The sequence below is a fragment of the Homo sapiens genome, chromosome Y (assembly GCF_000001405.40).
Source record: "Homo sapiens chromosome Y, GRCh38.p14 Primary Assembly".
Classification (NCBI taxonomy): domain Eukaryota; kingdom Metazoa; phylum Chordata; class Mammalia; order Primates; family Hominidae; genus Homo; species Homo sapiens.
In genome coordinates this window covers 23,253,647-23,281,004 of record NC_000024.10, presented here as the reverse complement: position 1 = coordinate 23,281,004, position 27,358 = coordinate 23,253,647, and the positions used below count along the sequence as shown (strand labels likewise).

At 35.9% G+C, this 27,358-nt stretch overlaps 1 protein-coding gene across 7 annotated transcripts in view; it reads right to left on the bottom strand.

The window, feature by feature from the left end:
• The window catches only part of DAZ2 (deleted in azoospermia 2), a 71,900-nt gene that overhangs the window by 10,352 nt on the left and 34,190 nt on the right, over positions 1-27,358 (bottom strand). For 4 of the 7 annotated variants that reach the window (NM_020363.3, NM_001389303.1, NM_001388493.1 and 1 more), the window contains 9 exons: positions 25,016-25,087; positions 15,227-15,298; positions 12,843-12,914; positions 10,458-10,529; positions 8,074-8,145; positions 5,690-5,761; positions 3,306-3,377; positions 921-992; positions 142-176 (listed from right to left, as the gene is read on the bottom strand). In NM_020363.3, coding sequence (NP_065096.2) covers positions 142-176; positions 921-992; positions 3,306-3,377; positions 5,690-5,761; positions 8,074-8,145; positions 10,458-10,529; positions 12,843-12,914; positions 15,227-15,298; positions 25,016-25,087 — 611 coding nt within the window. The remainder of the gene's footprint in view (positions 1-141; positions 177-920; positions 993-3,305; positions 3,378-5,689; positions 5,762-8,073; positions 8,146-10,457; positions 10,530-12,842; positions 12,915-15,226; positions 15,299-25,015; positions 25,088-27,358) is intronic. The other 3 variants (NM_001005785.2, NM_001388494.1, NM_001005786.2) reach the window with 3 other exon arrangements.

The window sequence follows — 27,358 nt, the reverse complement described above, 5'->3', positions numbered from 1 at the left end:
TAAAAAGAAAGTAACAAAATGTAACACATTAATATAAAGAATCATTTAAAATATTTATAAGGCATAAATGATATGGAAAATAATCCAGAAAGAACAGAAGTACATGGTAGGCTAATTCACTTTACCAGAGGTACAACCTACCTCCTTTGCTCCCCAACAGGGCACTGCGGTGGCATCTTAAAAAAAAAATAGGAAAACAAAATTATTCAAATATTCATAAACATTTTCAAAAACAAATGATATATAAAATATTGAAGTACCTATGCTGGCTCCTTTGTTATTATAATAAAAGAAAGACAATGGAAAAAAGAAGTACTTTATGGTTCTAATTCCTGACATTCTTGTTGTTACTTCCACATACAAATACGAAACCACACCTTTTCCCCAATTTTTGGATTTGGCATTGTGGAAATCTCAAAGATGTTACTACTTTGAACTTATTATGCTACATATGATTATTGGTCATAGATAGAGTCCTCTCTACTATGAAAAGAGAACCAGACAACAATTGTCGGGAAACAGCCTACTAAATGAAACTATAATTTGAATTATGTGCTCTAAGAATTGGGTAATAATTTTATTTACTCTATATCCCTAAAAAATTCATGAAAGTCATCCTGGAGGTTTCATTCAGCTATTTGACAGCAAAGATGAAAACTATATCCTGAAATATAGAAGGGTCAAATCTCAGAAAACTGTTCTACAGAAAAGTTATTGCCAAGTACATTCCTGTCAAAATATTACCTCATTACTTCTAAATCAGACAGAGGTCTTCATTCTACACTAATTCTAAGTGTTTCCTTAAATATTAGGTACACTTCACTAGTTTAAAATGACCAACTATTCAGGAAATTTGTATAAACAAGTTAAAGGCCTCAATAATACCTGAAAGCAAATCATTTCATTCCTTCTTACATTACCTGGTAATTGTATACATGGAACTGATATCCAGTGGTGACCTGAACTGCTGAATTTGGATAAGCAGGAAATGCCTGAAAAGAAAGGTGGCAGAAAAAAAAGAATATGGTAAACCATTTTTTAAAATTAGAAAGAAATATCATTCCCAATGTAACAAAAATATTAAAAACGTTAAAATATCATTTTTCTACATACAACAATGCAGAATTCTAAATGAATGACTGACTTTATGAAGAAAGAAATAGTCTATGTCATGTGCCACACTTTGGGTGTGAAGGGGGAACAAATGACAAAAGAATTGACTATTTCACCAAAGTTTACCTTATACTGTGTACTTATTCACACCCAGAAATTCTTTCTTACACCGGTGATAAGGCTCCATTAAGACAGATTGCAATGTAAGTTAAATTTATACATTTGCTATTTCAATGTCAGAATATTTCTAGACTGTTTTGTATCAGACAATATTAAAGGGTAATATGTAGTTCTATAGATATTAGTGCTATGTTTGTACTTCATTCCAAAAAACTAAGTGCAGTCTATAATCCAATACTGGAGAAGAGAAAGTATAATGTCTTATATGTTTCAATGAATTCTTATTGTTTGAAAACATACAGGTAGCAGCACACATGAATATGCCCTGATTCAGTAATGCCGCACAGTAAATGACAGAAACAAGTAGGGCTTTTTTTCCAGCCATTGTTCAGAGAAGGAAAAAGAAGAGGTATACCACACATGTTTCAAGTACATGGAAAACATCAACAAATTAGAGACACTGCAGAACTATTGGACTATTATTTTGTTACTTCATTTTCCGTCAAAGAAAATGTCTTTAAAGCTAACACATAAATAAAACGAACTAAGAAGAATATAAACGTCCTTTATCAACATTAAGTGATGGAGTATGTCAAAACCTACTTTAAATATCAGTGTAAGCAGGATCAGAGAAATTAGATGCAAGAAGCTCACGGGATTTATATACCTACTAAACCACATCAGAAATCTACCCATTCCCGAACCAGAATATATCCAGAAGTCAGCAATTTATATGAGGAGGCATCTGGAAATCATTTCAAATAAAGGGTAGCTAGATGAACTGTTAAACTTACCGAAGAATGAAGTAGGCAGACACATAAGGAGAGCTGCTTTCATTCACTTTAGGAACTGGTTATAAGGAGGAAAGCAGCTCTGGTGCTTTGGAGGTAATACTCTCGTTTACTCCTATTCTTATTTAGGCGCAATTAACAGCAAAGCATTTCTGTCTCTGTTCTACAAATTTTCTGTTGCTGGTAAAGCCAGAGGCAGAATCTACGCAGATGCATGCTAATTCAAAAGCCACATGAATACTACCTTTCTTTGATGATATGGTCTATCATTAAGTGGACCTGCCATTGCTTAAGCAAATAAAAACCTCAGGGCAAAAAAGGCACTGTTGCTCCCATGGGAGTTTATAATCGGGTTAACAAGAAAGTAAAAAAATAAACTAAAACATTGATATAAAAATCACTTAAAAATAGTAATAGGCATATACGACGTGGAAAAAAACCAAGAATGAACAGGAAGTCTATGTTTGGCTAATTCACTTAACATCAAGGAAAACATAATCCCTTTGCTCCCCAACAGGCCCCTATGGTGGCATCTTAAAAAAAAAAAAAAAAAGGAAACCAAAACTATTAAAATATTCCTACACATTTTCAAAAACACATGAGAAACACAATATTGAAGCACTTATCCTGCTGTCTCCTTTTTTATTATAATACAAGTAACAGAAAGGAAAACTTGAGTACTTTATGTTTCTAGTCCATGACATTCTTGTTACTTTTATATTAGAAACTTCACCCTTCTCCACATTTTCGGGAGTTGGCAATGTGGAAACCTCAAAGATACTAGCTCTTTCAGTTTATTACCATAGATATAATTATTGGGCATAGATGTACTTGTATCTGTGAAAAGAGACCCAGAGAATTGCTATCGTGAAACAGCCAGCTAAAATGAAAATATAGTTGGAATTCTGTGCTCTGCAAAGTGGGTCATAATTTTATTTCACTCTATCTCCCTAAGAAAATTCATGAAAGTCAGTTTGGATGTTTCATTCAGTTATTTGACAGTAAAGATGAAAACTACATCCAGAAATGAAGAATGGGACACCAAATCTCAGAAATCTGTTCTACAGGAAAGTTATTCCCAAGTATATTCCTGTCAAAATTCGACTTCATTACTTCTCAATAAGACAGAGGTCTTCATTCTACACTAATTCTAAGTGTTTCCTTAAATTTTAGGTACACTTCACTAGTTTAAAATGACCAACTATTCCGGAAATTTGTATAAACAAGTTAAAGGCCTCAATAATACCTGAAAGCAAATAATTTTACTCCTTCTTACATTACCTGATAATTATATACAGGCAACTGATATCCAGTGGTGACCTGAAATGGTGAACTTGGATAAGCAGGAAATGCCTGAAAAGAAAGGTTGGCAGAAAAAAATGAATATGGTAAACCACTTTTTAAAATTACAAAGAAATATAATTCCCAATATAACAACAATATTACAGAAGGGAAAATATCGTTTTTCTACATACAACAATGCAGAATTCCAAATGAATGACTGATTTATGAAGAAAGAAAGATTCCATGTCAAGTGCTACACTTTGGCTGTGAAGGGGGAAGAAATGACAAAAGAATTGACGACTTCACCAAAGTTTACCTTATACTGTGTACGTATTCACACCCAGACGTTATTTCTTACACTGGTGATAAGGCTCCATTAAGAGAGATTGCAAGGTAAGTTAAATTAATACATTTGCTATTTCCCTGTCAGAATATTTCTACACTGTTTTTTATCAGACAATATTATAGGACAATGTGTAGTTGTACACGCGTTATGGCTTTGTCTGTACTTCATTCCGGAAAACTAAGTGCAGTCTATAATCCAATACTGGAGAAGAGAAAGTATAATGTCTTATATGTTTCAATGAATTCTTATTGTTTGAAAACATACAGGTAGCAGCATACATGAATACACCCAGATTCAGTAATGCCTCACAGTAAATGACAGAAAGAAGTAGGGTTTTTTTTCTAGCCATTGTTCAGAGAAGGAAAAAGAAGAGGTGTACCATACATGTTTCAAGTACATGGAAAATATCAACAAATTAGAGACACGGCAGAACTATTCGACTATTATTTTGTTACTTCACTTTCCGTCACAGAAAATGTCTTTAAAGCTAACACATAAATAAAACGAACTAAGAAGAATATAAACGTCCTTTATCAACATTAAGTGATGGAGTATGTCAAAACCTACTTTAAATATCAGTGTAAGCAGGATCAGAGAAATTAGATGCAAGAAGCTCACGGGATTTATATACCTACTAAACCACATCAGAAATCTACCCATTCCCGAACCAGAATATATCCAGAAGTCAGCAATTTATATGAGGAGGCATCTGGAAATCATTTCAAATAAAGGGTAGCTAGATGAACTGTTAAACTTACCGAAGAATGAAGTAGGCAGACACATAAGGAGAGCTGCTTTCATTCACTTTAGGAACTGGTTATAAGGAGGAAAGCAGCTCTGGTGCTTTGGAGGTAATACTCTCGTTTACTCCTATTCTTATTTAAGCGCAATTAACAGCAAAGCATTTCTGTCTCTGTTCTACAAATTTTCTGTTGCTGGTAAAGCCAGAGGCAGAATCTACGCAGATGCATGCTAATTCAAAAGCCACATGAATACTACCTTTCTTTGATGATATGGTCTATCATTAAGTGGACCTGCCATTGCTTAAGCAAATAAAAACCTCAGGGCAAAAAAGGCACTGTTGCTCCCATGGGAGTTTATAATCGGGTTAACAAGAAAGTAAAAAAATAAACTAAAACATTGATATAAAAATCACTTAAAAATAGTAATAGGCATATACGACGTGGAAAAAAACCAAGAATGAACAGGAAGTCTATGTTTGGCTAATTCACTTAACATCAAGGAAAACATAATCCCTTTGCTCCCCAACAGGCCCCTATGGTGGCATCTTAAAAAAAAAAAAAAAAGGAAACCAAAACTATTAAAATATTCCTACACATTTTCAAAAACACATGAGAAACACAATATTGAAGCACTTATCCTGCTGTCTCCTTTTTTATTATAATACAAGTAACAGAAAGGAAAACTTGAGTACTTTATGTTTCTACTCCATGACATTCTTGTTACTTTTATATTAGAAACTTCACCCTTCTCCACATTTTCGGGAGTTGGCAATGTGGAAACCTCAAAGATACTAGCTCTTTCAGTTTATTACCATAGATATAATTATTGGGCATAGATGTACTTGTATCTGTGAAAAGAGACCCAGAGAATTGCTATCGTGAAACAGCCAGCTAAAATGAAAATATAGTTGGAATTCTGTGCTCTGCAAAGTGGGTCATAATTTTATTTCACTCTATCTCCCTAAGAAAATTCATGAAAGTCAGTTTGGATGTTTCATTCAGTTATTTGACAGTAAAGATGAAAACTACATCCAGAAATGAAGAATGGGACACCAAATCTCAGAAATCTGTTCTACAGGAAAGTTATTCCCAAGTATATTCCTGTCAAAATTCGACTTCATTACTTCTCAATAAGACAGAGGTCTTCCTTCTACACTAATTCTAAGTGTTTCCTTAAATTTTAGGTACACTTCACTAGTTTAAAATGACCAACTATTCCGGAAATTTGTATAAACAAGTTAAAGGCCTCAATAATACCTGAAAGCAAATAATTTTACTCCTTCTTACATTACCTGATAATTATATACAGGCAACTGATATCCAGTGGTGACCTGAAATGGTGAACTTGGATAAGCAGGAAATGCCTGAAAAGAAAGGTTGGCAGAAAAAAATGAATATGGTAAACCACTTTTTAAAATTACAAAGAAATATAATTCCCAATATAACAACAATATTACAGAAGGGAAAATATCGTTTTTCTACATACAACAATGCAGAATTCCAAATGAATGACTGATTTATGAAGAAAGAAAGATTCCATGTCAAGTGCTACACTTTGGGTGTGAAGGGGGAAGAAATGACAAAAGAATTGACGACTTCACCAAAGTTTACCTTATACTGTGTACGTATTCACACCCAGACGTTATTTCTTACACTGGTGATAAGGCTCCATTAAGAGAGATTGCAAGGTAAGTTAAATTAATACATTTGCTATTTCCCTGTCAGAATATTTCTACACTGTTTTTTATCAGACAATATTATAGGACAATGTGTAGTTGTACACGCGTTATGGCTTTGTCTGTACTTCATTCCGGAAAACTAAGTGCAGTCTATAATCCAATACTGGAGAAGAGAAAGTATAATGTCTTATATGTTTCAATGAATTCTTATTGTTTGAAAACATACAGGTAGCAGCATACATGAATACACCCAGATTCAGTAATGCCTCACAGTAAATGACAGAAAGAAGTAGGGTTTTTTTTCTAGCCATTGTTCAGAGAAGGAAAAAGAAGAGGTGTACCATACATGTTTCAAGTACATGGAAAATATCAACAAATTAGAGACACGGCAGAACTATTCGACTATTATTTTGTTACTTCACTTTCCGTCAAAGAAAATGTCTTTAAAGCTAACACATAAATAAAACGAACTAAGAAGAATATAAACGTCCTTTATCAACATTAAGTGATGGAGTATGTCAAAACCTACTTTAAATATCAGTGTAAGCAGGATCAGAGAAATTAGATGCAAGAAGCTCACGGGATTTATATACCTACTAAACCACATCAGAAATCTACCCATTCCCGAACCAGAATATATCCAGAAGTCAGCAATTTATATGAGGAGGCATCTGGAAATCATTTCAAATAAAGGGTAGCTAGATGAACTGTTAAACTTACCGAAGAATGAAGTAGGCAGACACATAAGGAGAGCTGCTTTCATTCACTTTAGGAACTGGTTATAAGGAGGAAAGCAGCTCTGGTGCTTTGGAGGTAATACTCTCGTTTACTCCTATTCTTATTTAAGCGCAATTAACAGCAAAGCATTTCTGTCTCTGTTCTACAAATTTTCTGTTGCTGGTAAAGCCAGAGGCAGAATCTACGCAGATGCATGCTAATTCAAAAGCCACATGAATACTACCTTTCTTTGATGATATGGTCTATCATTAAGTGGACCTGCCATTGCTTAAGCAAATAAAAACCTCAGGGCAAAAAAGGCACTGTTGCTCCCATGGGAGTTTATAATCGGGTTAACAAGAAAGTAAAAAAATAAACTAAAACATTGATATAAAAATCACTTAAAAATAGTAATAGGCATATACGACGTGGAAAAAAACCAAGAATGAACAGGAAGTCTATGTTTGGCTAATTCACTTAACATCAAGGAAAACATAATCCCTTTGCTCCCCAACAGGCCCCTATGGTGGCATCTTAAAAAAAAAAAAAAAAGGAAACCAAAACTATTAAAATATTCCTACACATTTTCAAAAACACATGAGAAACACAATATTGAAGCACTTATCCTGCTGTCTCCTTTTTTATTATAATACAAGTAACAGAAAGGAAAACTTGAGTACTTTATGTTTCTAGTCCATGACATTCTTGTTACTTTTATATTAGAAACTTCACCCTTCTCCACATTTTCGGGAGTTGGCAATGTGGAAACCTCAAAGATACTAGCTCTTTCAGTTTATTACCATAGATATAATTATTGGGCATAGATGTACTTGTATCTGTGAAAAGAGACCCAGAGAATTGCTATCGTGAAACAGCCAGCTAAAATGAAAATATAGTTGGAATTCTGTGCTCTGAAAAGTGGGTCATAATTTTATTTCACTCTATCTCCCTAAGAAAATTCATGAAAGTCAGTTTGGATGTTTCATTCAGTTATTTGACAGTAAAGATGAAAACTACATCCAGAAATGAAGAATGGGACACCAAATCTCAGAAATCTGTTCTACAGGAAAGTTATTCCCAAGTATATTCCTGTCAAAATTCGACTTCATTACTTCTCAATAAGACAGAGGTCTTCATTCTACACTAATTCTAAGTGTTTCCTTAAATTTTAGGTACACTTCACTAGTTTAAAATGACCAACTATTCCGGAAATTTGTATAAACAAGTTAAAGGCCTCAATAATACCTGAAAGCAAATAATTTTACTCCTTCTTACATTACCTGATAATTATATACAGGCAACTGATATCCAGTGGTGACCTGAAATGGTGAACTTGGATAAGCAGGAAATGCCTGAAAAGAAAGGTTGGCAGAAAAAAATGAATATGGTAAACCACTTTTTAAAATTACAAAGAAATATAATTCCCAATATAACAACAATATTACAGAAGGGAAAATATCGTTTTTCTACATACAACAATGCAGAATTCCAAATGAATGACTGATTTATGAAGAAAGAAAGATTCCATGTCAAGTGCTACACTTTGGCTGTGAAGGGGGAAGAAATGACAAAAGAATTGACGACTTCACCAAAGTTTACCTTATACTGTGTACGTATTCACACCCAGACGTTATTTCTTACACTGGTGATAAGGCTCCATTAAGAGAGATTGCAAGGTAAGTTAAATTAATACATTTGCTATTTCCCTGTCAGAATATTTCTACACTGTTTTTTATCAGACAATATTATAGGACAATGTGTAGTTGTACACGCGTTATGGCTTTGTCTGTACTTCATTCCGGAAAACTAAGTGCAGTCTATAATCCAATACTGGAGAAGAGAAAGTATAATGTCTTATATGTTTCAATAAATTCTTATTGTTTGAAAACATACAGGTAGCAGCATACATGAATACACCCAGATTCAGTAATGCCTCACAGTAAATGACAGAAAGAAGTAGGGTTTTTTTTCTAGCCATTGTTCAGAGAAGGAAAAAGAAGAGGTGTACCATACATGTTTCAAGTACATGGAAAATATCAACAAATTAGAGACACGGCAGAACTATTCGACTATTATTTTGTTACTTCACTTTCCGTCACAGAAAATGTCTTTAAAGCTAACACATAAATAAAACGAACTAAGAAGAATATAAACGTCCTTTATCAACATTAAGTGATGGAGTATGTCAAAACCTACTTTAAATATCAGTGTAAGCAGGATCAGAGAAATTAGATGCAAGAAGCTCACGGGATTTATATACCTACTAAACCACATCAGAAATCTACCCATTCCCGAACCAGAATATATCCAGAAGTCAGCAATTTATATGAGGAGGCATCTGGAAATCATTTCAAATAAAGGGTAGCTAGATGAACTGTTAAACTTACCGAAGAATGAAGTAGGCAGACACATAAGGAGAGCTGCTTTCATTCACTTTAGGAACTGGTTATAAGGAGGAAAGCAGCTCTGGTGCTTTGGAGGTAATACTCTCGTTTACTCCTATTCTTATTTAAGCGCAATTAACAGCAAAGCATTTCTGTCTCTGTTCTACAAATTTTCTGTTGCTGGTAAAGCCAGAGGCAGAATCTACGCAGATGCATGCTAATTCAAAAGCCACATGAATACTACCTTTCTTTGATGATATGGTCTATCATTAAGTGGACCTGCCATTGCTTAAGCAAATAAAAACCTCAGGGCAAAAAAGGCACTGTTGCTCCCATGGGAGTTTATAATCGGGTTAACAAGAAAGTAAAAAAATAAACTAAAACATTGATATAAAAATCACTTAAAAATAGTAATAGGCATATACGACGTGGAAAAAAACCAAGAATGAACAGGAAGTCTATGTTTGGCTAATTCACTTAACATCAAGGAAAACATAATCCCTTTGCTCCCCAACAGGCCCCTATGGTGGCATCTTAAAAAAAAAAAAAAAAGGAAACCAAAACTATTAAAATATTCCTACACATTTTCAAAAACACATGAGAAACACAATATTGAAGCACTTATCCTGCTGTCTCCTTTTTTATTATAATACAAGTAACAGAAAGGAAAACTTGAGTACTTTATGTTTCTAGTCCATGACATTCTTGTTACTTTTATATTAGAAACTTCACCCTTCTCCACATTTTCGGGAGTTGGCAATGTGGAAACCTCAAAGATACTAGCTCTTTCAGTTTATTACCATAGATATAATTATTGGGCATAGATGTACTTGTATCTGTGAAAAGAGACCCAGAGAATTGCTATCGTGAAACAGCCAGCTAAAATGAAAATATAGTTGGAATTCTGTGCTCTGAAAAGTGGGTCATAATTTTATTTCACTCTATCTCCCTAAGAAAATTCATGAAAGTCAGTTTGGATGTTTCATTCAGTTATTTGACAGTAAAGATGAAAACTACATCCAGAAATGAAGAATGGGACACCAAATCTCAGAAATCTGTTCTACAGGAAAGTTATTCCCAAGTATATTCCTGTCAAAATTCGACTTCATTACTTCTCAATAAGACAGAGGTCTTCATTCTACACTAATTCTAAGTGTTTCCTTAAATTTTAGGTACACTTCACTAGTTTAAAATGACCAACTATTCCGGAAATTTGTATAAACAAGTTAAAGGCCTCAATAATACCTGAAAGCAAATAATTTTACTCCTTCTTACATTACCTGATAATTATATACAGGCAACTGATATCCAGTGGTGACCTGAAATGGTGAACTTGGATAAGCAGGAAATGCCTGAAAAGAAAGGTTGGCAGAAAAAAATGAATATGGTAAACCACTTTTTAAAATTACAAAGAAATATAATTCCCAATATAACAACAATATTACAGAAGGGAAAATATCGTTTTTCTACATACAACAATGCAGAATTCCAAATGAATGACTGATTTATGAAGAAAGAAAGATTCCATGTCAAGTGCTACACTTTGGCTGTGAAGGGGGAAGAAATGACAAAAGAATTGACGACTTCACCAAAGTTTACCTTATACTGTGTACGTATTCACACCCAGACGTTATTTCTTACACTGGTGATAAGGCTCCATTAAGAGAGATTGCAAGGTAAGTTAAATTAATACATTTGCTATTTCCCTGTCAGAATATTTCTACACTGTTTTTTATCAGACAATATTATAGGACAATGTGTAGTTGTACACGCGTTATGGCTTTGTCTGTACTTCATTCCGGAAAACTAAGTGCAGTCTATAATCCAATACTGGAGAAGAGAAAGTATAATGTCTTATATGTTTCAATAAATTCTTATTGTTTGAAAACATACAGGTAGCAGCATACATGAATACACCCAGATTCAGTAATGCCTCACAGTAAATGACAGAAAGAAGTAGGGTTTTTTTTCTAGCCATTGTTCAGAGAAGGAAAAAGAAGAGGTGTACCATACATGTTTCAAGTACATGGAAAATATCAACAAATTAGAGACACGGCAGAACTATTCGACTATTATTTTGTTACTTCACTTTCCGTCACAGAAAATGTCTTTAAAGCTAACACATAAATAAAACGAACTAAGAAGAATATAAACGTCCTTTATCAACATTAAGTGATGGAGTATGTCAAAACCTACTTTAAATATCAGTGTAAGCAGGATCAGAGAAATTAGATGCAAGAAGCTCACGGGATTTATATACCTACTAAACCACATCAGAAATCTACCCATTCCCGAACCAGAATATATCCAGAAGTCAGCAATTTATATGAGGAGGCATCTGGAAATCATTTCAAATAAAGGGTAGCTAGATGAACTGTTAAACTTACCGAAGAATGAAGTAGGCAGACACATAAGGAGAGCTGCTTTCATTCACTTTAGGAACTGGTTATAAGGAGGAAAGCAGCTCTGGTGCTTTGGAGGTAATACTCTCGTTTACTCCTATTCTTATTTAAGCGCAATTAACAGCAAAGCATTTCTGTCTCTGTTCTACAAATTTTCTGTTGCTGGTAAAGCCAGAGGCAGAATCTACGCAGATGCATGCTAATTCAAAAGCCACATGAATACTACCTTTCTTTGATGATATGGTCTATCATTAAGTGGACCTGCCATTGCTTAAGCAAATAAAAACCTCAGGGCAAAAAAGGCACTGTTGCTCCCATGGGAGTTTATAATCGGGTTAACAAGAAAGTAAAAAAATAAACTAAAACATTGATATAAAAACCACTTAAAAATAGTAATAGGCATATACGACGTGGAAAAAAACCAAGAATGAACAGGAAGTCTATGTTTGGCTAATTCACTTAACATCAAGGAAAACATAATCCCTTTGCTCCCCAACAGGCCCCTATGGTGGCATCTTAAAAAAAAAAAAAAAAAGGAAACCAAAACTATTAAAATATTCCTACACATTTTCAAAAACACATGAGAAACACAATATTGAAGCACTTATCCTGCTGTCTCCTTTTTTATTATAATACAAGTAACAGAAAGGAAAACTTGAGTACTTTATGTTTCTACTCCATGACATTCTTGTTACTTTTATATTAGAAACTTCACCCTTCTCCACATTTTCGGGAGTTGGCAATGTGGAAACCTCAAAGATACTAGCTCTTTCAGTTTATTACCATAGATATAATTATTGGGCATAGATGTACTTGTATCTGTGAAAAGAGACCCAGAGAATTGCTATCGTGAAACAGCCAGCTAAAATGAAAATATAGTTGGAATTCTGTGCTCTGCAAAGTGGGTCATAATTTTATTTCACTCTATCTCCCTAAGAAAATTCATGAAAGTCAGTTTGGATGTTTCATTCAGTTATTTGACAGTAAAGATGAAAACTACATCCAGAAATGAAGAATGGGACACCAAATCTCAGAAATCTGTTCTACAGGAAAGTTATTCCCAAGTATATTCCTGTCAAAATTCGACTTCATTACTTCTCAATAAGACAGAGGTCTTCATTCTACACTAATTCTAAGTGTTTCCTTAAATTTTAGGTACACTTCACTAGTTTAAAATGACCAACTATTCCGGAAATTTGTATAAACAAGTTAAAGGCCTCAATAATACCTGAAAGCAAATAATTTTACTCCTTCTTACATTACCTGATAATTATATACAGGCAACTGATATCCAGTGGTGACCTGAAATGGTGAACTTGGATAAGCAGGAAATGCCTGAAAAGAAAGGTTGGCAGAAAAAAATGAATATGGTAAACCACTTTTTAAAATTACAAAGAAATATAATTCCCAATATAACAACAATATTACAGAAGGGAAAATATCGTTTTTCTACATACAACAATGCAGAATTCCAAATGAATGACTGATTTATGAAGAAAGAAAGATTCCATGTCAAGTGCTACACTTTGGCTGTGAAGGGGGAAGAAATGACAAAAGAATTGACGACTTCACCAAAGTTTACCTTATACTGTGTACGTATTCACACCCAGACGTTATTTCTTACACTGGTGATAAGGCTCCATTAAGAGAGATTGCAAGGTAAGTTAAATTAATACATTTGCTATTTCCCTGTCAGAATATTTCTACACTGTTTTTTATCAGACAATATTATAGGACAATGTGTAGTTGTACACGCGTTATGGCTTTGTCTGTACTTCATTCCGGAAAACTAAGTGCAGTCTATAATCCAATACTGGAGAAGAGAAAGTATAATGTCTTATATGTTTCAATGAATTCTTATTGTTTGAAAACATACAGGTAGCAGCATACATGAATACACCCAGATTCAGTAATGCCTCACAGTAAATGACAGAAAGAAGTAGGGTTTTTTTTCTAGCCATTGTTCAGAGAAGGAAAAAGAAGAGGTGTACCATACATGTTTCAAGTACATGGAAAATATCAACAAATTAGAGACACGGCAGAACTATTCGACTATTATTTTGTTACTTCACTTTCCGTCAAAGAAAATGTCTTTAAAGCTAACACATAAATAAAACGAACTAAGAAGAATATAAACGTCCTTTATCAACATTAAGTGATGGAGTATGTCAAAACCTACTTTAAATATCAGTGTAAGCAGGATCAGAGAAATTAGATGCAAGAAGCTCACGGGATTTATATACCTACTAAACCACATCAGAAATCTACCCATTCCCGAACCAGAATATATCCAGAAGTCAGCAATTTATATGAGGAGGCATCTGGAAATCATTTCAAATAAAGGGTAGCTAGATGAACTGTTAAACTTACCGAAGAATGAAGTAGGCAGACACATAAGGAGAGCTGCTTTCATTCACTTTAGGAACTGGTTATAAGGAGGAAAGCAGCTCTGGTGCTTTGGAGGTAATACTCTCGTTTACTCCTATTCTTATTTAAGCGCAATTAACAGCAAAGCATTTCTGTCTCTGTTCTACAAATTTTCTGTTGCTGGTAAAGCCAGAGGCAGAATCTACGCAGATGCATGCTAATTCAAAAGCCACATGAATACTACCTTTCTTTGATGATATGGTCTATCATTAAGTGGACCTGCCATTGCTTAAGCAAATAAAAACCTCAGGGCAAAAAAGGCACTGTTGCTCCCATGGGAGTTTATAATCGGGTTAACAAGAAAGTAAAAAAATAAACTAAAACATTGATATAAAAACCACTTAAAAATAGTAATAGGCATATACGACGTGGAAAAAAACCAAGAATGAACAGGAAGTCTATGTTTGGCTAATTCACTTAACATCAAGGAAAACATAATCCCTTTGCTCCCCAACAGGCCCCTATGGTGGCATCTTAAAAAAAAAAAAAAAAGGAAACCAAAACTATTAAAATATTCCTACACATTTTCAAAAACACATGAGAAACACAATATTGAAGCACTTATCCTGCTGTCTCCTTTTTTATTATAATACAAGTAACAGAAAGGAAAACTTGAGTACTTTATGTTTCTAGTCCATGACATTCTTGTTACTTTTATATTAGAAACTTCACCCTTCTCCACATTTTCGGGAGTTGGCAATGTGGAAACCTCAAAGATACTAGCTCTTTCAGTTTATTACCATAGATATAATTATTGGGCATAGATGTACTTGTATCTGTGAAAAGAGACCCAGAGAATTGCTATCGTGAAACAGCCAGCTAAAATGAAAATATAGTTGGAATTCTGTGCTCTGCAAAGTGGGTCATAATTTTATTTCACTCTATCTCCCTAAGAAAATTCATGAAAGTCAGTTTGGATGTTTCATTCAGTTATTTGACAGTAAAGATGAAAACTACATCCAGAAATGAAGAATGGGACACCAAATCTCAGAAATCTGTTCTACAGGAAAGTTATTCCCAAGTATATTCCTGTCAAAATTCGACTTCATTACTTCTCAATAAGACAGAGGTCTTCATTCTACACTAATTCTAAGTGTTTCCTTAAATTTTAGGTACACTTCACTAGTTTAAAATGACCAACTATTCCGGAAATTTGTATAAACAAGTTAAAGGCCTCAATAATACCTGAAAGCAAATAATTTTACTCCTTCTTACATTACCTGATAATTATATACAGGCAACTGATATCCAGTGGTGACCTGAAATGGTGAACTTGGATAAGCAGGAAATGCCTGAAAAGAAAGGTTGGCAGAAAAAAATGAATATGGTAAACCACTTTTTAAAATTACAAAGAAATATAATTCCCAATATAACAACAATATTACAGAAGGGAAAATATCGTTTTTCTACATACAACAATGCAGAATTCCAAATGAATGACTGATTTATGAAGAAAGAAAGATTCCATGTCAAGTGCTACACTTTGGCTGTGAAGGGGGAAGAAATGACAAAAGAATTGACGACTTCACCAAAGTTTACCTTATACTGTGTACGTATTCACACCCAGACGTTATTTCTTACACTGGTGATAAGGCTCCATTAAGAGAGATTGCAAGGTAAGTTAAATTAATACATTTGCTATTTCCCTGTCAGAATATTTCTACACTGTTTTTTATCAGACAATATTATAGGACAATGTGTAGTTGTACACGCGTTATGGCTTTGTCTGTACTTCATTCCGGAAAACTAAGTGCAGTCTATAATCCAATACTGGAGAAGAGAAAGTATAATGTCTTATATGTTTCAATAAATTCTTATTGTTTGAAAACATACAGGTAGCAGCATACATGAATACACCCAGATTCAGTAATGCCTCACAGTAAATGACAGAAAGAAGTAGGGTTTTTTTTCTAGCCATTGTTCAGAGAAGGAAAAAGAAGAGGTGTACCATACATGTTTCAAGTACATGGAAAATATCAACAAATTAGAGACACGGCAGAACTATTCGACTATTATTTTGTTACTTCACTTTCCGTCACAGAAAATGTCTTTAAAGCTAACACATAAATAAAACGAACTAAGAAGAATATAAACGTCCTTTATCAACATTAAGTGATGGAGTATGTCAAAACCTACTTTAAATATCAGTGTAAGCAGGATCAGAGAAATTAGATGCAAGAAGCTCACGGGATTTATATACCTACTAAACCACATCAGAAATCTACCCATTCCCGAACCAGAATATATCCAGAAGTCAGCAATTTATATGAGGAGGCATCTGGAAATCATTTCAAATAAAGGGTAGCTAGATGAACTGTTAAACTTACCGAAGAATGAAGTAGGCAGACACATAAGGAGAGCTGCTTTCATTCACTTTAGGAACTGGTTATAAGGAGGAAAGCAGCTCTGGTGCTTTGGAGGTAATACTCTCGTTTACTCCTATTCTTATTTAAGCGCAATTAACAGCAAAGCATTTCTGTCTCTGTTCTACAAATTTTCTGTTGCTGGTAAAGCCAGAGGCAGAATCTACGCAGATGCATGCTAATTCAAAAGCCACATGAATACTACCTTTCTTTGATGATATGGTCTATCATTAAGTGGACCTGCCATTGCTTAAGCAAATAAAAACCTCAGGGCAAAAAAGGCACTGTTGCTCCCATGGGAGTTTATAATCGGGTTAACAAGAAAGTAAAAAAATAAACTAAAACATTGATATAAAAATCACTTAAAAATAGTAATAGGCATATACGACGTGGAAAAAAACCAAGAATGAACAGGAAGTCTATGTTTGGCTAATTCACTTAACATCAAGGAAAACATAATCCCTTTGCTCCCCAACAGGCCCCTATGGTGGCATCTTGAAAAAAAAAGGGGGGTGGGGGAGGAGCCAAGATGGCCGAATAGGAACAGCTCCAGTCTACAGCTCCCAGCGTGAGCGACGCCGAAGACGGGTGATTTCTGCATTTCCATCTGAGGTACCGGGTTCATCTCACTAGGGAGTGCCAGACAGTGGGCGCAGGTCAGTGGGTGGGCTCACCGCGTGCGAGCGGAAGCAGGGCGAGGCATTGCCTCACTTGGGACGCGCAAGCGGTCAGGGAGTTCCCTTCTGAGTCAAAGAAAGGGGTGACGGATGCCACCTGGAGAATCGGGTCACTCCCACCCGAATACTGCGCTTTTCCGACGGGCTTAAAAAACGGCACACCACTAGATTATATCCCGCACCTGGCTCGGAGGGTCCTACGCCCACGCAGTCTCACTGATTGCTAGCACAGCAGTCTGAGATCAAACTGCAAGGCGGCAACGAGGCTGGGGGAGGGGCGCCCGCCATTGCCCAGGCTTGATTAGGTAAACAAAGCCGCAGGGAAGCTCCAACTGGGTGGAGCCCACCACAGCTCAAGGAGGCCTGCCTGCCTCTGTAGGCTCCACCTCTAGGGGCAGGGCACAGACAAACAAAAAGACAGCAGTAACCTCTGCAGACTTAAATGACCCTGTCTGACAGCTTTGAAGAGAGCAGTGGTTCTCCCAGCACGCAGCTGGAGATCTGAGAACGGGCAGACTGCCTCCTCAAGTGGGTCCCTGACCCCTGACCCCCCGAGCAGCCTAACTGGGAGGCACCCCCCAGCAGGGGCACACTGACACCTCACACGGCAGGGTATTCCAACAGACCTGCAGCTGAGGGTCCTCTCAGTTAGAAGGAAAACTAACAAACAGAAAGGACATCCACACCAAAAACCCATCTGTACATCACCATCATCAAAGACCAAAAGTAGATAAAACCACAAAGAGGGGGAAAAAACAGAACAGAAAAACTGGAAACTCTAAAAAGCAGAGCACCTCTCCTCCTCCAAAGGAACGCAGTTCCTCACCAGCAACGGAACAAAGCTGGATGGAGAATGACTTTGACGAGCTGAGAGAAGAAGGCTTCAGACGATCAAATTACTCTGAGCTACGGGAGGACATTCAAACCAAAGGCAAAGAAGTTGAAAACTTTGGAAAAAAAAAATGTAGAAGAATGTATAACTAGAATAACCAATACAGAGAAGTGCTTAAAGGAGCTGATGGAGCTGAAAACCAAGGCTCAAGAACTACGTGAAGAATGCAGAAGCCTCAGGAGCTGATGCGATCAACTGGAAGAAAGGGTATCAGCAATGGAAGATGAAATGAATGAAATGAAGTGAGAAGGGAAGTTTGGAGAAAAAAGAATAAAACGAAATGAGCAAAGCCTCCAAGAAATATGGGACTATGTGAAAAGACCAAATCTACGTCTGCTTGGTGTACCTGAAAGTGATCGGGAGAATGGAACCAAGCTGGAAAACACTCTGCAGGATATTATCCAGGAGAACTTCCCCAATCTAGCAAGGCAGGCCAACGTTCAGATTCAGGAAATACAGAGAACACCACAAAGATACTCCTCGAGAAGAGCAACTCCAAGACACATAATTGTCAGATTCACCAAAGTTGAAATGAAGGAAAAAATGTTAAGGGCAGCCAGAGAGAAAGGTCGGGTTACCCTCAAAGGGAAGCCCATCAGACTAACAGTGGATCTCTCGGCAGAAACCCTACAAGCCAGAAGAGAGTGGGGGCCAATATTCAACATTCTTAAAGAAAATAATTTTCAACCCAGAATTTCATATCCAGCCAAACTAAGCTTCATAAGCGAAGGAGAAATAAAATACTTTACAGACAAGCAAATGCTGAGAGATTTTGTCACCACCAAGCCTGCCTTATAAGAGCTCCTGAAGGAAGCACTAAACATGGAAAGGAACAACCGGTACCAGCCGCTGCAAAATCATGCCAAAATGTAAAGACCATCGAGACTAGGAAGAAACTGCATCAACTAACAAGCAAAATAACCAGCTAACATCATAATGACAGGATCAAATTCATACATAACAATATTAACTTTAAATGTCAATGGACTAAATGCTCCAATTAAAAGACACAGACTGGCAAACTGGATAAAGAGTCAAGACCCATCAGTGTGCTGTATTCAGGAAACCCATCTCACGTGCAGAGACACACATAGGCTCAAAATAAAAGGATGCAGGAAGATCTACCAAGCAAATGGAAAACAAAAAAAGGCAGGGGTTGCAATCCTAGTCTCTGATAAAACAGACTTTAAACCAACAAAGATCGAAAGAGACAAAGAAGGCCATTACATAATGGTAAAGGGATCAATTCAACAAGAAGAGCTAACTATCCTAAATATATATGCACCCAATACAGGAGCACCAAGATTCATAAAGCAAGTCCTGAGTGACCTACAAAGAGACTTAGACTCCCACACATTAATAATGGGAGACTTTAACACCCCACTGTCAACATTAGACAGATCAACGAGACAGAAAGTCAACAAGGATACCCAGGAATTGAACTCAGCTCTGCACCAAGTGGACCTAATAGACATCTACAGAACTCTCCACCCCAAATCAACAGAATATACATTTTTTTTCAGCACCACACCACACCTATTCCAAAACTGACCACATACTGGGAAGTAAAGCTCTCCTCAGCGGATGTAAAAGAACAGAAATTATAACAAACTATCTCTCAGACCACAGTGCAATCAAACTAGAACTCAGGATTAAGAATCTCACTCAAAACCACTCAACTACATGGAAACTGAACAACCTGCTCCTGAATGACTACTGGGTACATAACAAAATGAAGGCAGAAATAAAGATGTTCTTTGAAACCAACGAGAACAAAGACACAACATACCGGAATCTCTGGGATGCATTCAAAGCAGTGTGTAGAGGGAAATTTATAGCACTAAATGCCCACAAGAGAAAGCAGGAAAGATCCAAAATTGACACCGTAACATCACAATTAAAAGAACTAGAAAAGCAAGAGCAAACACAGTCAAAAGCTAGCAGAAGGCAAGAAATAACTAAGATCAGAGCAGAACTGAAGGAAATAGAGACACAAAAAACCCTTCAAAAAATTAATGAATCCAGGAGCTGGTTTTTTGAAAGGATCAACAAAAGTGACAGACCGCTAGCAAGACTAATAAAGAAAAAAAGAGAGAAGAATCCAATAGACGCAATAAAAAATGATAAAGGGGATATCGCCACTGATCACACAGAAATACAAACTACCATCAGAGAATACTACAAACACCTCTACGCAAATAAACTAGAAAATCTAGAAGAAATGGATAAACTCCTCGACACATACACTCTCCCAAGACTAAACCAGGAAGAAGTTGAATCTCTGAATAGACCAATAACAGGAGCTGAAATTGTGGCAATAATCAATAGCTCACCAACCAAAAAGAGTCCAGGACCAGATGGATTCACAGCCGAATTCTACCAGAGGTACAAGGAGGAACTGGTACCATTCCTTCTGAAACTATTCCAATCAACAGAAAAAGACAGAATCCTCCCTAACTCATTTTATGAGGCCAGCATCATTCTGATACCAAAGCCAGGCAGAGACACAACCAAAAAAGAGAATTTTAGACCAATATCCTTGATGAACATTGATGCAAAAATCCTCAATAAAATACTGGCAAAACGAATCCAGCGGCACATCAAAAAGCTTATCCACCATGATCAAGTGGGCTTCATCGCTGGGATGCAAGGCTGGTTCAATATACGCAAATCAATAAATGTAATCCAGCATATAAACAGAACCAAAGACAAAAAACACATGATTATCTCAATAGATGCAGAAAAAGCCCTTGACAAAATTCAACAACCCTTCATGCTAAAAACTCTCAATAAATTAGGTATTGATGGGACGTATTTCAAAATAGTAAGAGCTATCTATGACAAACCCACAGCCAATATCATACTGAATGGGCAAAAACTGGAAGCATTCCCTTTGAAAACTGGCACAAGAGAGGGATGCCCTCTCTCACCACTCCTATTCAACATAGTGTTGGAAGTTCTGGCCAGGGCAATTAGGCAGGAGAAGGAAATAAAGGGTATTCAATTAGGAAAGGAGGAAGTCAAATTGTCCCTGTTTGCAGACAACATGATTATATATCTAGAAAACCCCATTGTCTCAGCCCAAAATCTCCTTAAGCTGATAAGCAACTTCAGCAAAGTCTCAGGATACAAAATCAATGTACAAAAATCACAAGCATTCTTATACACCAACAACAGACAAACAGAGAGCCCAATCATGAGTGAACTCCCATTCACAATTGCTTCAAAGGGAATAAAATGCCTAGGAAATCAACTTACAAGGGATGTGAAGGACCTCTTCAAGGAGAACTACAAACCACTGCTCAAGGAAATAAAAGAGGATACAAACAAATGGAAGAACATTCCATGCTCATGAGTAGGAAGAATCAATATCGTGAAAATGGCCATACTGCCCAAGGTAATTTACAGATTCAATGCCATCCCCATCAAGCTACCAATGCCTTTCTTCACAGAATTGGAAAAAACTACTTTAAAGTTCACATGGAACCAAAAAAGAGCCCGCATTGCCAAGTCAATCCTAAGCCAAAAGAACAAAGCTGGAGGCATCACACTACCTGACTTCAAACTATACTACAAGGCTACAGTAACCAAAACAGCATGGTACTGGTACCAAAACAGAGATATAGATCAATGGAACAGAACAGAGCCCTCAGAAATAACGCCGCATATCTACAACTATCTGATCTTTGACAAACCTGAGAAAAACAAGCAATGGGGAAAGGATTCCCTATTTAATAAATGGTGCTGGGAAAACTGGCTAGCCATATGTAGAAAGCTGAAACTGGATCCCTTCCTTACACCTTATACAAAAATCAATTCAAGATGGATTAAAGACTTAAACGTTAGACGTAAAACCATAAAAACCCTAGAAGAAAACCTAGGCATTACCATTCAGGACATAGGCATAGGCGAGGACTTCACGTCTAAAACACCAAAAGCAATGGCAATAAAAGACAAAATTGACAAATGGGATCTAATTAAACTAAAGAGCTTCTGCACAGAAAAAGAAACTACCATCAGAGTGAACAGGCAACCTACAAAATGGGAGAAAATTTTCACAACCTACTCATCTGACAAAGGGCTAATATCCAGAATCTACAATGAGCTAAAACAAATTTACAAGAAAAAACAAACAACCTCATCAAAAAGTGGGTGAAGGACATGAACAGACACTTCTCAAAAGAAGACATTTATGCAGCCAAAAAACACATGAAAAAATGCTCATCATCACTGGCCATCAGAGAAATGCAAATCAAAACCACAGTGAGATACCATCTCACACCAGTTAGAATGGCAATCATTTAAAAGTCAGGAGACAACAGGTGCTGGAGAAGATGTGGAGAAACAGGAACACTTTTACACTGTTGGCGGGACTGTAAACTAGTTCAACCATTGTGGAAGTCAGTGTGGCGATTCCTCAGGGATCTAGAACTGGAAATAGCATTTGACCCAGCCATCCCATTACTGGGTGTATACACAAAGGACTATAAATCATGCTGCTATAAAGACACATGCACACGTATGTTTATTGCGGCATTATTCACAATAGCAAAGACTTGGAACCAACCCAAATGTCCAACAATGATAGACTGGATTAAGAAAATGTGGCACATATACACCATGGAATACTATGCCGCCATAAAAAATGATGACTTCATGTCCTTTGTAGGGACATGGATGAAATTGGAAATCATCATTCTCAGTAAACTATCGCAAGAACAAAAAACCAAACACCGCATATTCTCACTCATAGGTGGGAATTGAACAATGAGATCACATGGACACAGGAAGGGATATATCACACTCTGGGGACTGTTGTGGGGTGGGGGGAGGGGGGAGGGATAGCACTGGGAGATATACCTAATGCTAGATGAGGAGTTAGAGGGTGCAGAGCACCAGCATGGCACATGTATACATATGGAACTAACCTGCACAATGTGCACATGGACCCTAAAACTTAAAGCATAATTTAAAAAAAAAAAAGAATTGACTACTTCACCAAAGTTTACCTTATACTGTGTACTTATTCACACCCAGAAGTTATTTCTTACACTGGTGATAAGGCTCCATTAAGACAGATTGCAATGTAAGTTAAATTAATACATTTGCAATTTTGCTGTAAGAATATTTCTAGACTGTTTTGTATCAGACAATATTATAGGGTAATATGTAGTTCTATAGATGTTATGGCTTTGTCTGTACTTCATTCCAAAAAACTAAGTGCAGTCTATAATCCAATACTGGAGAAGAGGAAGTATAATGTCTTATATGTTTCAATAAATGCTTATTGTTTGAAAACATACAGGCAGTAGCATACATGAATACACCCAGATTCAGTAACGGCTCACAGTAAATGACAGTAACAAGTAGAGCTTTTCTTCTACCCATTGTTCAGAGAAGGAAAAATAAGAGGTATACCATACATGTTTCAAGTACATGGAAAATATCAACAAATTAGAAACACTGCAGAACTATTTCACTATTATTTTGTTACTACATTTTCCATCAAAGAAAATGTCTTTTAAGCTAACACATCAATGAAATGAACTAAGAAGAATATAAACGTTATTTATCAACAGTAAGTGATAGAGTATGTCAAACCCTACTTTAAATATCAATGTCACCAGGATCAGAGAAATTAGATGCCAGAAACTCAAGCGGTTTATATATATATACTAAATCACATCAGAAATCTACCCATTCCAGAACCAGAATATATCCAGAAGTCAGCAATTTATATGAGGAGGCATCTGGAAATCATTTCAAATAAAGGATAGCTAGATGAATTGCTAAACTTACGGAAGAATAAAGTAGGCAGACACATAAGGAGAGCTGCTTTCATTCACTTTAGGAACTGCTTATACGGGGGAAAGCTGCTCTGGTGATTTGCAGGTAATACTCTCCTTTACTTCTATTCTTATTTAAGCATAATTAACAGCAAAGCATTTCTGTTTCTCTTCTATAAATTTACTACTGCTGGTAAAGCCAGAGGCAGATTCTATGCAGCTACATGCTAATTCTAAAGTCACGTGAATATTACCTTTCTTTGATTATATAGTCTATCATTATGTGGAGCTGCCATTGCTTAAGCACATAAAACCCTGAGGGCAAAAAAGGCACTGTTGCTGCCATGGGAGTTTATACTCGGGTTAACAAGAAAGTAACAACAACAACAACAAACATTAATATAAAGAGTCACTTAAAAATATTTATAGGCATATATGACATGGAAAAAAAATCAAGAATGAACAGGAAGTCTATGTTTGGCTAATTCCCTTAACGTCAAGGACAACATAATCCCTTTGCTCCCCAACAGGCCCCTAAGGTGGCATCTTTAAAAAAAAAAAAAAAAAAAAGGAAACCAAAACTATTAAACTATTCCTACATATTTTCAAACACACATGAGAAACACAGTATTGAAGTACTTATTCCGCTGTCTCCTTTTTTATTATAATAAAAGTAACAGAAAGGAAAACTTAAGTACTTTATGTTTCTTGTCCATGACATTCTTGTTACTTTAAATTTGAATCTTCACCTTTCTCCAAATTTTTGGGAGTTGGCAATGTGGAAACCTCAAAAATACTAGCTCTTTCAGTTTATTACCATAGATATAGTTATGGGTCATAGATATACTTGTATCTATGAGAAGAGATCCTGAGAATGACTACCGTCAAACAGCCAGCTAAAATGAAAATATAATTGGAATTCTGTGCTCTGAAAAGTGGATCATAATTTTATTTCACTCTATCTCCCTAAAAAAATTCATGAAAGTCAGTTTGGATGTTTCATTCAGCTATTTGACAGCAAAGATGAAAACTATATCCACAAATGAAGAAGGGGACACCAAATCTCAGAAATCTCTTCTACACAAATGTTATTGCCAAGGATATTCCTGTAAAAATATTACTTCATTACTTCTAAATAAGACAGAGGTCTTCATTCTACACTAAGTCTTTCCTTAAATTTTAGGGACACTTCACTAGTTAAAAATGACCAACTATTCAGGAAATTTCTATAAACAAGTTAAAGGCCTCAATAATACCTGAAAGCAAACCATTTTACTACCTCTTACATTACCTGATAATTGTATACAGGCAACTGATATCCAGTGGTGACCTGAACTGGTGAATTTGGATAAGCAGGAAATGCCTGAAAAGGTTGCAGAAAAAATGAATATGGTAAACCACATTTTAAAATTAGAAAGAAATATAATTCCCAATATAAGAAAAATATTACAAAACGGAAAATATCCTTTTTCTACATACAACAATGCAGAATTCCAAATGAATGACTTTATGAGGAAAGAAAGATTCTATGTCAAGTGCTACACTTTGGGTGTGAAGGGGGAACAAATGACAAAGAACTGACTACTTCACCAAAATTTACCTTATACTGTGTACTTATTCACACCCAGAAATTATGTCTTACACTGGTGATAAGGTTCCACTAAGACAGATTGCAATGTAAGGTAAATCAATACATTTGCAATTTCGCTGTAAGAATATTTCCAGACTGTTTTGTATCAGACAATATTGTAGGGTAATATGTAGTTCTATAGATGTTATGGCTTTGTCTGTATTTCATTCCAAAAAACTAATTGCAGTCTATATTCCAATACTGGAGAATAAAAAGTATAATGTCTGACATGTTTCAACAAATTCTTATTGTTTGAAAACATACAGTTAGCAGCATACATGAATACACCCAGAATCACTAATGCCTCACAGTAAACGAGAGAAACAAGTAGGGCTTTTTTTCTAGCCATGGTTCAGAGAAGGAAAAAGAAGAGGTATACCATACATGTTTCAAGTACATGGAAAATATCAACAAATTAGAGACACAGCAGAACGATTTCACTATTATTTCATTACTTCATTTTCTGTCAAAGAAAATGTCTTTTAAGCTAACACATCAATGAAATGAACTAAGAAGAAAATAAACGATATTTATCAACAGTAAGTGACACACTATGTCAAACCCTACTTTAAATATCAATGTAACCACGATCAGAGAAATTACATGCCAGAAACTCACCGGGTTTATATATATATACTAAACCACGTCAGAAATCTGCCCATTCCAGAACCAGAATATATCCAGAAGTCAGCCATTTATATGAGGAGGCATGTGGCAATCATTTCAAATAAAGGATAGCTAGATAAACTGCTAAACTTACCGAAGAATAAAGTAGGCAGACACATAAGGAGAGCTGCTTTCATTCACTTTAGGAACTGCTTATAAGGGGGAAAGCAGCTCCGGTGAGTTGGAGGTAATACTCTCCTTTACTCCTATTCTTATTTAGGCGTCATTAACAGCAAAGCATTTCTGTTTCTCTTCTATAAATTTTCTACTGCTGGTAAAGCCAGAGGCATATTCTGTGCAGACACATGCTAATTCTAAAGTCACGTGAATACTCCCTTTCTTTGATTATATAGTCTATCATTATGTAGACCTGCCATTGCTTAAGCACATAAAAACCTGAGGACAAAAAAGGCACTGTTGCTGCCATGGGAGTTTATAATCGGGTTAACAAGAAGGAAACAACAACAAAAAAAACATTAACATAAAAAGTCACTTAAAAATATTTGTAGGCATATATGACATGGAAAAAAATCAAGAATGAACAGGAAGTCTATGTTTGGCTAATTCCCTTAATGTCAAGGACAACATAATCCCTTTGCTACCCAACAGGCCCCTAAGGTGGAATCTTAAAAAATCAATTAATAAATAAAAGGAAACCAAAACTATTGAAGTATTACTACACATTTTCAAAAACACATGAGAAACACAATATTAAAGTACTTATCCTGCTGTCTCCTTTTTTATTGTAATAAAAGTAACAGAAAGGAAAACTCAAATACTTTATGTTTCTAGTCCATGACATTCTTGTTACTTTTACATTGGAAACTTCAGCTCTCTCCACATTTTCGGGATTTCGCAATGTGGAAACCTCAAAGATACTAGCTCTTTCAGTTTATTACCGTAGATATAATTATGGGTCACAGATACACTTGTATCTATGAAAAGAGATCCAGAGCATTACTATCGTCAAACAGCCAGCTAAAATGAAAATGTAATTGGGATTCTGTGCTCTGAAAAGTGCAGCATAATTTTATTTCAGTCTATCTCCCTAAGAAAATTCATGAAAGACACTTTGGACGTTTCATTTAGCTATTTGACAGTAAAGATGAAAACTACATCCAGAAATGAAGAAGAGAACACCAAATCTCAGAAATCTGTTCTACAGAAAAGTTATTGCCAAGTATATTCCTGTCAAAATACTACCTCATTATTCTAAATAACACAGAGGTCTTCATTCTACACTAAGTGTTTCCTTAAATTTTAGGTACAATTCACTAGTTTAAAATGAGCAACTATTCAGGAAATTTGTATGAACAAGTTAAAGGCCTCAATAATACC